At 42.9% G+C, this 14,196-nt stretch overlaps 1 protein-coding gene across 27 annotated transcripts in view; it reads right to left on the minus strand.

Annotated features, from left to right (window-relative positions):
• Positions 397 to 14,196, minus strand: part of PLAGL1 (PLAG1 like zinc finger 1) — a 124,300-nt gene continuing 110,500 nt past the window's right edge. For 18 of the 27 annotated variants that reach the window (NM_001289042.2, NM_001289044.2, NM_001289043.2 and 15 more), the window contains 2 exons: positions 8,082 to 8,557; positions 397 to 2,760 (listed from right to left, as the gene is read on the minus strand). In NM_001289042.2, coding sequence (NP_001275971.1) covers positions 1,521 to 2,760; positions 8,082 to 8,233 — 1,392 coding nt within the window. In that variant the 5' untranslated portion in view covers positions 8,234 to 8,557 and the 3' untranslated portion in view covers positions 397 to 1,520. The remainder of the gene's footprint in view (positions 2,761 to 8,081; positions 8,558 to 14,196) is intronic. The other 9 variants (NM_001289038.2, NM_001289037.2, NM_001080955.3 and 6 more) reach the window with 1 other exon arrangement.

Consider the following 14,196-nt stretch of genomic DNA (forward strand, 5'->3'; position numbering starts at 1 on the left):
AATGGTAAACACCGTTGTAAAAGTGGATCATGGTAGCCCAGGTTAGACTAAACTCTGGTGGATAGTATTCTGATCTATACATTAGAAATAAATTATGTCACATTATAGAATGATTTAAATATTGCATTTTTAGAAATAATAAGCTCTTAGTGCTGTGAATTTAATGGACGCATACAAGCTTCCATCTTAAGTCATAATTATTTTACTCAAAAAAAGTGAAGTTTCTAATAGATGCTCAGTAGAGGTCAAAACAGTGGTTTCTGTGGGGGAAGTAATGACCAGGAGGGGGCATGAGGGAGCCAGGTGGAGCCGGAAGTGTTTTCTGTCTTGATCTGAGTGTATGTAGTTCATGTTGTTGACACAGGTGGAGCTGTATGAAAAATTAATCAAGCCAAATTGCAAGATTTGAAAAGTTTATTATATGTAAGATATATGTTTACGGAAAAGCCTCTAAAAACATAAGACAATGGAGCTTTAAAAAAGGTTAGGTTTTACATCTTTAAAACTCATTAATAAGATACCAAATTCAAGAGATTATAGTTACATTGTAAAACGTAATCTTCTTTTAATAAAAGCTAATAATGACTGATGAATTACAAATGCACTTATTTATTGGTGATTACAAACAATACTTAAGAACTTAAGCAGCTTGAGTAGTAGTTTAAGCTAGACAGAGCAAAGAAAATTCTTGTTTAATATATATATATTTTTAATTCCAGTAATATTTTCTTAAATTCCTGTTAAAAATATAATCAATATTAAAGTCAGCAAAATGCCTTTGACTGACGCCTGGATTATTTTACCACTTAACCTGGTTACACAGTGATTTTTTTTTTTTTTCTGTCAGATGTAACTGACAACCAGTTTAGTCTTTCTTTAAGATAAATGAAGTGATAACTCACATTGCAGCATCTTGTGGAAAATATTCAAACTACATTTAAAATGCTTCTGTAAAATGGAGAACTCTATTGCTCCACAAGAAAATGTATATGTAAAACTACAGGTTGGCTATGGTAATAGTAACTAAACTACATCCAACCCTGAAGGTAGAAAAATCCCTGAAAAGAAATACACAGCCTAGTCATAGTATATCATATAAAGGTTATTTTCTTATTTTGAAAATTCTCCCAGATTTGGAGAAATCCAAACCTTTCCATAGTTCCCTTACTAGGCAGTGCCACATAAAGTTATTTAGTTAACATTATGATCATGGCTTACGATTAAATTCCATATGACAAACACTTATATATAGCAGCCGTCATTTTGGATGTTGGTTATGACAATATTTGCAGTTTGATTACAGAACACGCGTTCATTAAATTTGGTACAAAGCATGAACACTCAGGACAGATTGGCACAATACATGCAGTTCGAGAATTCTCTTATCATCTCAAGCCAGTCATCACTGAATAAGCCATAGTCCCAGTCTCGTTTTCCAAATCTTTCTCATATTGTAACTGACATTTAAAATGCTTCTTAAAACATCTTCCAGAATACGAAAAATACACTTTAAAAATCAATTATCTGAATGCATGATGGAAATGAGGCAGGATGGCAGAGCCAGTGCCAGCTGAGAACACATGAGGGATGGGGGGCAGGGGGAGCTGGCCCAGGCTCACAGTGCCCATGGCAAGTGGGGGTTCTTGCTGCTGCTGCCCCAGACAGCTTAACCTGTGGGGCAAAGATTCCCCAGGCCCCAGGGCAAGAGTGCTATTCCCAAAGGTATTTTGGGTAGCAGGAGGGGGCAGCTGCCAGAAGCCCAACAGGGGGGACAGGTCCAGAGAGGCAGGTATTGTTAGGTTCACAGCATCTGCAGGCAGCTCCTTGGGCAGGTTTACTTTACCAGCATTTCCCTTAGCCAGATCAAAACCTGGGTTGAGCTTTTGAGGTGACTGAGGCTCTTGCAGAGGCAAGTCCTCAAACAAACTGATATTGCAAAAACCTTTAGTATCTGCTTTGAGGGGCAGGCTTGCAAGTGGGGAGTATGAGGTAGAAGTGGTGTTGTACTTGTGATTGGGAAGGGGTGGCGGAGGAGAGCCAGGGGATACCGAGGGGTGGAGGGAGGCCAGGGACTCTGGCAGCGGCTGCATAGGCTGGGCGGCTTGTTCTGGGGGACTGAGGGTGAGGCTATGGACCTCAGCTGGCAAGCTACTTGCAAGCCCGTTCTGGGCAGAAGCTCCTAAAGGGAAAGGAGGCAAGGCAGCAGCCTTCAGTTGGAATGAAGGCGAGATGGTGTGGAAGGTGCTCAGAAGGTCTCCGGTCTGCAAGCTCTCTTTCATCAGCTCCTGTGAGTGGGTCTTCTTGGTATGCCGGGTGAGGTGATCCTTGCGCCCAAATCTCTGGGCACAGAACTGGCACAGGAAGTCCTTGCATCCTGTGTGGACCACCAGGTGGCGTCGCACATCCTTCCGGGTGTAGAAGCATCTTTCACAGTGGTCGCACTGGTGCTTCTTTTCCTTGGTTCCGCTAGGGGGCTTCTCTTCCGCATGGGCTTTGAGGTGGTCCAGTAGCACCTCGGTGCTCCCTAGCTCCAGGGCACAGACCCCACAGGTGAGGTCCCCACTGCTGGCCGCATGGAGGGCCAGGTGCCTCTTATAGCCCAGCATGGTGTTGTACTTCTTCCCACACTCCTCACACCCAAAGGCCATTTTGTTGGGGTCGTGGGTCTGGAGGTGGTTTTTCAGGTGGTCTTTCCGGTTGAACGTCTTCTCACAGTGAGCACACTGGTGAGATTTCTGGGGAGAATGGGTAGCCATATGCCTAGGAGCAGAAGGAGAAATTTCACAATAGAGAGTTGTTTTAAGAGCTGAAGAAAGGTGTAGCAACAATATTATATCAAAATGTTAATAGTTTTCTCTGGGTCTTGGTATAATTTTCAAAATTCTTTCATATATTTTCCAAATATATAAACTTTTATAATTAAGAAAAGCAAGCAATACTAAAGCCATAATACATTTTTCACACCTATAAAACGTTTTTTGAGACAGGATCTGACTCTTTTGCCCAGGCTGGAGTGCAGTGGCACGATCATGGCTCACTGCAGCCTCAACGTCCTGGGCTCAAGCAATCTTCCCACCTTAGCCTCTCAAATAGCTGAACTACAGGCACACACCACCAGGCCTGGCTAATTTTTTTTTTTTTTTTTTTGAGACAAGGTCTCACTATACCCACGCTGGTCTCAAACTCCTGGGCTCAAGTGATCCTCCCGCCTTGGCCTCCAAAAGTGTTGGGATTACAGACAAGAGTCACCGTGCCTGGCCAGAATATTCTTAAAGAGAACATGTTTTTTTAATGTATACAGATTTCTGAACAAAGTATGCAAGTACTTAAAAATACCTGACCATGAAAAATCTTTTTCAGGAAGGGGTTAAAGGGGTCTTTTGTACTCTGGAAATTCAAGTGACTCAATTTGTCTGCTACCCAGAACCACATAAAGCCCCAGTTTTAGGTTATTGTTCCTAGTTCCTATGTTTCTGTTGTTTGAGACAAAAAGTTCAAGCCATGGACATGTAACTCTTAGGAGCCTCTTAAAAAGTCCATCCTTAACCTCAGAAAAGTGTCTAATAGGACCCTGAACATCAGCCCACTGCCTTGCTTTCAGCCTCAGCCTCTGCCTGCCGTGAGATCTCACCACTGTCTTGATTTCCTTCATTCAATGCTTGACTATCAGCTCTTATCTCTGATGCTGCTGCCTGTCTCTGTTACTTCAAATTTTCCCTCTAAGACACCTTTGACTTACTTCTTAAAGGTCACTGGTAATTTAATTGGCAAAATTCAAAAAGACTTTCTTCTTTAAATATGAAGCTGCTACTTCTAATAAGAGTTGTAAGTTTGTCTTCAACAATGGCTTCAGGGACAAGCCGTAGTCTGTCTAGTCAATTTGGAATTTCAAAATAGCTCTTTTATATTTGTGAAGCAGAAATTAGTTATGGAAAGCCATCACAATTCCATCTTTTTCATAGTTCCACTGAATTGCTAACATCTAAACTCACCACTGGCTTTTAAAAACTCAGTGGTATAAGGAAACCCTGAGTTTGTCATCCTTAAGCTTTAAAAAGGTTCATTTTAATAACTAAAATGCAGAGCATTACATGTTAGCATGTCCTATGAAACAGAATCCTTCATTACAACTTGTAGCTTCATATCCCTCAGGGCAGATACCTCCTTTAGGGGTTTTGTCACGAGAGGTTAAAGCTTGTCCTAACTGACAATTTAAGTGCAGTTGTACCCTGTGAGCTTTCACGTTAGATACAGAAGATTTTCTAACAACTCATTCCGTAAAAGAGATAGGATCTCTTTAAGACAGTATGTTTAAGTCAAAAGTATACTTAATTACACCTTTCAGCCAACATCTGCCCTATACTGTTTATTCCTGCCCCTTTTGTGGAGCCAGAATTGGGGAGGGGTCTACAATAGCAGCCGTTGAGTGGAGGCCCCCACCTAGAGGCCAACTGGAAGCCAGTTCAAAAAATATAAAGCTAATCTGAATCGAACTGTCATTTTCTTAAAAATAAAGTACAACCTCATACCTCCTTCCTCTGTCACAAAACAAACAAACAAAAACAAAAAAGGCCTGCTGTGTGCATCCCTTCCCTTCCCTCCAGTACACCACAGCTTGTTTGCACATAAATGATAACATGATGGGTACCGTAAGGCAGGGACAGGAACCAATACGATGGGCATCTGAGAAACCAGATTGTGCTGGTGTTTCCACGTTCTAGGTCTATCTAAATAAATGCACAGGTTGGAGAAAGGGTTTTTAGAGCATGTTAGAGGGCAAATAGCCATGTTGTTCTGCAGGATATCCATATGTATATATATATATATCGCAGGAATACATATGAAGGGGGGAGCTGGCTTACACACTCAGTATTTAAACCTTTTTTTTTTTTTTTCTGGCCCAGTACTGGTGAACAGGATCCCATAGCTCTTGGGTCAGTTTGTGCCTCTCTCTTTTCTTTCATTATAGAGGACTTTCATCTGATTTGATTTCATTTATCACCCATGGGTAGATCAATACCAGGTTAACGACTGCACCTGGTTATTTCCTACGCACTCTTTCCTGTCCTACACCTGTACTACCTGTAAGTGGGGCACAGTCTGACACCCCAGTAGTACTTGAGCAAGACCACTGCCTTCCAGACTTCACTAGCTCCCACATTTCTGAATTTCTTGACTCTTTCCCTTGCCTGGCATCTACTTCTTTCCCTTTTAATTTATCCCTTACTTACTCAACAATCCTGATCTAGAACATTCTCATCCTATAGCTGAAATTACTTCAACGACTTGTTTCTTTCCCTCAGTTTTTCATCTTACCTTATAACCCATGAAAACAGCTTTAGTATGTCCTAGAGTCAGTACCCAATGCCACCATCTTTGGGTATCATCTGGATCATGTCAGTGATTTTAGAATTATTTAGAGGTTGATTGCTCACATTAGGACCTCCAACCTTGCCAAATCATCTTTTCTTGCCTGTTATTGTCTCTAACTGGTTTCATTATATGCTGTACTGGGACCCACATTCTGTTTTCTGGTTAAGCAAGTCAGTTATTTTTTCCTTCAACCTCTGTTGCCTCATCATCCTTTTTTTGAGATGCAGTCCCACCCTGTCACCAGGCTGAAGTGCAGTGGCTCGATGTCAGCTCACTGCAACCTCTGCCTCCCGGGTTCAAGTGATCCTCCTACCTCAGCCTCCCGAGTAGCTGGGATTACAGGCGTGTACCACCACGCCCAGCTAATTTTTTGTATTTTTAGTAGAGACGGGGTTTCACCATGGTGGCCAGGATTATCTCGATCTGTTGACCTCATGATCCACCCACCTCGGCCTCCCAAAGTGCTGGGATTACAGGCATCATCTTTTTTTTAAAAGCAAAACCGAAAGCATCCTGCCATCTCACACTCTTCCAGTCCTTTACTATATCACTGCTTCAGGCAAGAGAGGCGAGAGGCAAGAAATGCTGGGGGCTGAGGCAGGGAAGGCGGTTCTTGCATAAAGTACACTGACAGCTTCCCTTTTTGCCTCTCTTTACACCCTTAACTGAACAAGCCATTTTCCTTGCTAAGAACAACTACCTTCTAAACATGACTTAAGACTTCTTTTTCAGCGCAGTTTACCATAGTAAATTATTTCTCGGAACATGCGGGGTACTGATTCTACCCCTGTCATACCCAAATACACATATACTCAGGTCCTGCGGTCCACCCTGTGGACCACATGTGTATGAAAAGTCAGCCTTCGGTATACACAGGTTTCACACCCTGCAAATACTGTACTTTCAATCTGCATCTGGTTGAAAAATATTTGTGTATAAGCGGACCCGTGCAGCTCAAACTCATGTTGTTCAAGGGTCAACTGTAATCCCAATAGTTCTACTCCACTAATTCTTCTTTTCTAAACATTGATCTCTTCTATGTGTCTCAGTCTTTATCTGCAGTTTTAGTGTCCTCACTGTGACTCAGTTGCAGCCAGCGCTGCTCTCATGTTTGGGTAAGGACGCTTACCCTCCGCACACGCAAGAAGCTTCATGCAAAACAGGGAGCCTCTGCAACAAACTCATGCACGTGATCAGCATTCAATACTTCTACTCGTGACAGCTAGAGGGAGGCCCATGTATAGAAGACATTTGAATTTTAAAATATGTAAGCATTTGCAGGCTAATTTTTAAAACCAACTTATTACATTACATTATGTATAACAGTGGTATTCTTAAGGGCCAGGAGCATAATTTCCATCTTTTCAATTCTTTCAAGTGCCTTCCTCCAGGGTCACTCCAAGATTTCATAATGTGGTCTATGGTAATACCAGTCAGATGGAAAATCTCACTTGCTAAAGCCTGGCTCTCTCCAGGCGTTTGTATGTGAACAGTCAAAGTTGAAACTTCAAAGTTTATTTCATGAAATTAAGGGCAAATGGTGCATTTCCCTTAACCAAGTATCAAAAGCAGCACGTGTGAGTGGACGCACTATGTGTGTGGCTCTGAGTGTGCACAGACACAACACACACCATGCTCATTACCAGTCCCAGTACCGTGCAGCACAGCCACTGCATGTACATGGAGTCTTTCCTGTGATATTAAAAAGATCCACTGGCGGCAGAAACGATATCTAATGTATTCATTTCCCTCATGGAAGTAGGTACCTAACAGGCACTCAATAAATAACTTAGACTAAATGTAATTTTTTAAAAAGACTCATCTGCTAAAACAGTGCTTTTTATCCTTTGGTGTGTCATGGGTGCCTTTAAAACTGATCAAATGCACATGCTGCTCATCTGCATACCCACCTGAACTCCACTTACTAGGGTGGCTTTCCACCCAAGTTGAGAAACTGTGTTCCAAACATTTAAACTTGGAGATGTCTCCTCCTAGCTTTACTCTCAGGACCTGGATCAGCCCCCACATTTCATCCCTGGACTCTGAGAGCAGGTTTCAAATCAGCCTTCCTGCCACTTCTTCAAATTATTATCTGAGTCCTCTTTCTAGGATACTAAACGAATCATATTTCTTCACTACTTATACACCTGAATGAGACAAACCCTCTCAGACAGAGGTAAGGCCTGCTATACGTGGCTTCCTTCCTGCCTGCACTTTTAGCCTCATCTGCTCCTCCTCGGATAGTACCCTCTGCACATGGGTGCTTTAAGGCCAAGACTTATGGCTTTCCCAGAACCTCCTCTCTGCCTCCTCCTCTTTCATTGTGTCACAGCTTAAAGATTGTCCCCATCTGAGAAGCCGTCCCAGGTTTCATCAGGCAGTGAAGAACAACTTCTACCACCTGTATAGCTCTGTCAAAGCAGTGAGGTTGCATTTTAATTGTCTTTTCCTATTTCTCCAGCCATGGGGAGAGGCCTGGTATATTGTAGGTGCATAAAAAATCTCTGTTGAAAGAATGAACTGACACTGCACAACAAGACGGTCACATAAAACCACAGGAATCACTGGATGCAGATTTCAAGAATCCCTCAAAGGCTAAAATGCATCCATATCCTGTGTCCCTTTCCCCTTGCATCGTGTGGTCTGAGGGCTAGAAAAGCCATTTAAACGTACTTCTAAAAGTGCATACCTTTGCCAAAGCCTCTCACCTCATCAATTTATATCTGGAAACAAAGGCTTTGCCACAGTCAGGCTGCACACACTTGTACGGCCGCTCCCTGGAGTGGGAATAATTGTGAATCGTGAACTTCTCCAGGGTGAGGAACGTCTTGCCACATAACTGGCAGGGGAACGTGGCCATGGGCTTTGCTTCTCACACCTTCCTTTTCAGATGTGCTGACCAAATGCTGTGCCATTTAAGCACAAACAGAACGATGGTGCTGGGCACATCAGCAGAGTCCCTGCAGCTGAACTCCAGACCACGGGAGAGGCAGCATCGTGGGCCTGGTTCTACCCAGACATGGACCTCTCAGCTGTCACTAGCTTTGCTTCCTGCTTTCACACATCCCAGTTTACATGCAGTCTCAAGCTGAGGGGAGAAAGTCTGAGGCACAGGTGCGATTCAGGAGCAGAAAGGTAATCTGCATCACTATAGCTGGGGCATGTCCTGGGTCCCCCGGATTGGCTGTGGAGAGAAGAGGAACAGTTTTCTTGCATTAGCCATTTGAAAACAATGCTTTTCCTCCCTGACCGCTTCAGAATCAACTACCCACAATCAACACGTTCCTTTAAATGGTGCTCATGGAACACAGTTCTCCATGTGAGAGGGCCATCTGCATACAAGTCTACACTTTTGGCTTCTCAGAGGGTGAGGAGTCAAGCACTGATGGCCAGTGGAGCACACTTTCCCTCTGGTAAGGAGAGTTCTTTCCACGGATCCAGTATTATCTATTTCAGGTCAGTGTGAAGCTCCATTGACCAAAGAGAAAAACAACAACAACAACAACAACAACAACAAACAAAAACCTCCCTCCCTCAGTGTGTTCAAGTGTTTTTACTGGTCCATAAACAAAAATCACCCACACTTACTCAAACCACGGGCTCTTCCTCATCACTCATTGTTGGCATAACATTAGTTGCTTATCACACCTGTTTAAACTTCCAGAGGATAAGAAATAATTTGTATACACCTAAGTCAATTTGTTTGTAAGATTACTCTGCAGAAGGGCTGATATAAACAGAATGTGCATGAAGCTAGTCTAGTCTAGTTGCACTGATGTGGTGGCACAAAGCTGATAGCTCAGGAACCAGCCCAGGCCACGTTCAGATTTGTAGGCACCATCCTCTAGTAAGTTCTACTAATCTCTTCCTTTTTTGTTTATGGACCTTTCTTCATTCCCTGGCCCTACCCTGGAGGGCCCATCCAGCTACCTGCTGGTAGGCCACCTCCAGGAGATGGGCCTACTGCCTCCTCAAACCCAACTTGTCTCAAACCCAAATCATTATCATCCTTCTGACTCAGCCAGAGTCACCAAAAACCAGGTTCTTCTTTTTCTACCAATTGGCCATCATTGGAGGAACCTGAAGTGTCTGAGCCTGCATCATGAACAATACTCCACTTACTAGGGTGGCTTTCCACCCAAGCTGAGAAACTGTGTTCCAAAAATTTACACTTGGAGATGTCTCCTCCTAGCTTCACTCTCAGGACCTGGACCAACCCCCCACATTTCATCCCTGGACTCTGACAGCAGGTTTCAAATCGGCCTCTACCTGCCACTACCTGCCAGGGTAAAGCCCTGGATCACTACCACCCTGTGCTATTCTAGAGAGAGATTTTCAGGTGGGCAAATGCTCACCTTTCAAGTGCCAATACTTAAAAAAATTAAGAGTACTGTATGCTTAGGTGAAGTACACTTGAGTAGCTTTTGTCCACAGGCCAGCATTTGCTGAACTTTGCCAGTAAGCAGGGCACTTCATGGTAAACTGACCAATTGCAGTGAGTCTTTAAAGCCCTCCCTGCTCCTTGCAGTCATTTATTGCCATGTCTCTAGAGTTGCTCTTTATTGTTAAAAGTTAATTTTTACTTACCTTTTTGGTTACTTTCAGATCAGAAAGTATGAGTCTAACTAGATGAAACTTTATTGTAATAACAGTTTAAACATGTTTAAATATAGCATTATGTAGCACACGGACATAACCAAACACATATTCCTTTTCTAACCAGCAAAAATTCCAGGAAACTTGTAGAGTTCCTCATCTTCTGTTGTAGATGTTTTCAGTGTCTGGACAGAGTTCGCGGTACCAAGCAAATACCCCTCACCATCCTGCCTCACCCACTTGGAAACGTGAAAGCTGACTCGGGCACTTTTGGTCAGCGCTAATCCAAACCAGGGGACACACAGGAGTCCTCGGCCAGCACCTTGGCACCACACCTTCTTTGTGACGGCTGTGATTCTAGCAGCACACACAACCTCTGCAATTATGTGTGACTTTAACTAATTACCTGTCCCGGCTCTGCCCAAACCCCTTTCCCCCAACCCCTGGTTCCCTTCCAGTATTCTAGTTCATGCCTGAGGCCCTATCTTGAGGAATCCTCAACAGCCCTGGTCACAAACAAAATAACTCCTTCTAGGAATTCTATTCCGCCTGCCGAGTTTGCTCTGCTAGGTATCATGATCTGTTCTACTTCTCACCCAGCCTAAGTTTGGCCATAATACCGGCCCAGCTATAAAACACACTCATTCACTTAGAATTGCTCTGTGTTCTTTCTAGGTTTATTAAAAAAGACTAACACACACAGAGTATGAAGTTTGAAAATGCATCTTTTTCTCATTCCCTTTATAGCTGAACTCAAAATAGCACTCGTCCCACTCGCCCCTTCAGAGAAGGAGCTGCTTTGTTGGGGAAGGTTTTACATTTCTCTCACCTACTTAACACCCTGCATATACACTTTTCTCAACTTATCTCAGTAAGTTGATTCTCCCCAATTCTTGCTTTATGAGATGACTGGCATGTCCAACAGAACTTTCTGCAATGATGGAAATGTTACAGATGTGATGGCTACTGAGCACTCAAAATGTGCCTCTGAGAAACTGAAACTTTTACTTTATTTAACTTTAATTTAAATTGCCACATAGTGCCAGTGGCTGCTGTCCTGGACGGCACAGGCAGACTCTTGGTATTCCCATCAAAGGAGAGGAAGGCAAGGCTGTGCTTTCCTTGGACACAACTGTGCTACTGATTGAGCCTCAGGTGTTTACCCTGAAGCTATAAATCCAGGCACTTGTTCTGTGAATCCAGTGGAAAGATTCCCCAGTTCAAATTCCAACTTACCCATGTTATCTGTGTCGAGTTTCAGTTTCCTCATTTGTGATAGTTACCTGATGTATGTAAACAGGCTGCTGGGACAATCGACTGAGACAAAATGGATCTGAAAGCACACTGTAACCTAAATAAACACCCTACAAATAGGCAGTATTTATGAAACACTGGAATTAAAAGTACTATAGAACCATGTGTCAATGTACAGCTCATGTTCTAACCATTTAGCTATGGATGTAATGGGAAAGAGACACATTCTCTCCCTATGGATACTACACCATATCAATTATACTGGAAAGAAGTGGCAGTGTGGACAACACACGTGTAGAAAGGACACAAGAGGTGGCAAGTAAAACGCCTGCATTCTTTCTCAGCAGATGTAAACCTTGACTCATTGCTTACCAAACACACTAGGAGTACAAAGAAAAAAATAAAGCTTATTCAATTGAAAAACTTGCCCTTTGGCACTGAATGAGGTTTTCCAGATCTCTTTCCAGCCACTTCTTCCCAAGATTCAAAAGGCCAGCAGTCATGGACATCACCCATGCCTACATTTCCCCTGAGCCCTCAAAGATGAATGGGACAATCTGAGCATTAGACATGGCCATGGTTTAAAGGTGAGGCACATTTCCTCCAACTTCAAGTTTCCCTCAAAGACTAAAACACAAAGTCTCTCGTTTTTATGCTTATTTCATGAATATCTTTTCCCAAGGCTTTGAGTTCCAGGTCTGTGTGTTTAATATACCTAGCCTAATACTAATTGCAAAGTTGGTCCTCAGAACTAAGTTAGTTATATAATAGTGAACATTCTTTAATTTCTTCAGAGAGTCCTTAATGAACTCAAATTCATAATTTTTAATCACCGTAACTATGTATTTCTTCCATATGGGCCTTAGAATACAAATATTTGTTTTCATGATATAATAATAAACTTCTGTAAAAACAAGACTGTCTACCCCAACAGACTATAAACGCTTTGTGGCTGAGGGTCAAAGCTTAGCTATTAAAAAACGACAACAACAACAACAACAACTGTGGGTATATACAACATCTCTCATCACCACGCACTTGATCAGTTCAAAGGCTGTTTACTGATGAGTCCAATCTTTGGTTGAAACCCAATGCACTTTCTGGCCACATCCTTAAAACAATTTATGACAACTTTCTATTATCTGGCAGGCCACCAACGATCCTAACAGAACTTACAGAGCAATGGTCCTGATGCGAGTCATTCTGTTCTGTGACTTGACATAGAAATTGCATTTGAGTCTTAAATACGGTGCTATTTCAACACCTGTCACCCTAGAAAGATAGTAAGTCTTACCCCAAAACATCTCAGGACATAATTTTCAGTCCCCTTGATTCTAAAAATACTGAGTGATACAGATCTGCCAGTATGCCAAAGAAGGCTTGTGCCATCTGCTTCGTTCTGCTCATGTTGATTATTTTGGGGATGAGAGAGGATCAGACGGGAAGAAGAACATATATATATGGTAACAGCCAGGAAAGACTGTGTTCCCAGGGGACAGGGGTATACGAGGGTGGAGGGGGGAGTCAGAACACAACTGTAGTTCCAGGACTTCTCCAGTGCTACATAACACATCATCTAATGGGGCACAACTGCTTTACAACATTCTTAAAATAAACTGTGACTTCTGGCATCTATTTCCATTGTCCTCAGTGACACAATCAATGCAAGGCCCATTTCTGAGAGGAAAGTGAATTTCCACTTTTGGTCTTCCAACAAGGGTGTTTTTCTCAATATCAGTTCTTTGAAGGACTTTGGTAGCAGTCTCTATCAAATTTAAAAAAGCTATTTAGAAATGTCATCAGGAGAAAGATGATATCCAGAACCTCCAGGTAGTCATGGCTGCCATGGCTGCAGACCTCACTCCCATCATGGCCGGAAGGCAAGGCCAAGGATCACTCCACTTGCTGTTTCCTTAAAGTGCTACTTTCTCTCACGCTTCTGGCTTTCTCCCTCCTGGAATGTCCTGGGAACCCTTGTCTACCTGGCAAACTTCTACTTTTCTCTGTCACTGCCAGGCAGAGGCACGAGTTCCTCCTCCACACGGTGAGGTGTTTACTCAATGGCCCAGTAGAGATCTCCACCTTAATATGTTTGAAGAGCTTTCACTCTAGTTTATCCTCATTGTAGGAAGCACTACCTGCCCTTCTATTCTGCTCTGAGAGAGCCACCTGCTGAGCCATCAGGTTTGTTGCCTATAGATTCTTTTCAGCTGTCACCTTGAAAGACTGAATTTTGTTAACCCAGTGACTAAGCTCTTACTTTCTAAGAAATGAGGCTTAAGATAAACAAGAAAGACAAAGTGAATTATTTCTCTAATATTCAGGGAAAAAATTGAGAAAGCTGTCCAGATGATTATGCTACAGCTTTGGAACATCAAATCCACATCCTAGCCAGAACATCTGAAAAGGGACAGGGTGTGTTCTGTTTACAAATAGTGTAATATTTGGTTAAAGATGGCCAACTGAATAAAAGCATGTAGCTCCAGTCTCTCTGAAAATTCTACTAAAACAGTAATAGTGGGATTTTTCTAAAACACAGCCTAATATAAAAGGGAGAAAACAACAAATTTTGGAAGCTGAAAAGCAGGTAAACAAGCAGTGATCGACTTGGCCATCCTAAGAAAGCTAAAGTTTAAGCCAGCATTAAGAGGCAACAAAACAACCTGCTATACCCTGAAGCATCTACCATATGTCTCTGCAATTTGGTACAGTAGGTACTTCTGGAAGTGAGGATGGAAACAGGTATGAAAGCAGCAGGTGAAAGTCTGTTAGTGAAGCACTGAGCCCTCCTGACCTCTCCTGATGCCTGCAGTGGGGTGCCTGCCCTTCCTTCCCCTAGCACAAGTGCTCGCTATGGAGACTGTATGAAAGTGGGGGAGTAGCCTGACACAGGGTGAATGTCCTCTCTCTCAGGGCAGGAGGATGGAGGAGTCTTCCCTGGGAAGCTGACCAGCCCAAGAGAAAAGAGCAAAC

This window comes from Homo sapiens, chromosome 6, assembly GCF_000001405.40.
Source record: "Homo sapiens chromosome 6, GRCh38.p14 Primary Assembly".
NCBI classification, from domain to species: Eukaryota; Metazoa; Chordata; class Mammalia; order Primates; family Hominidae; genus Homo; species Homo sapiens.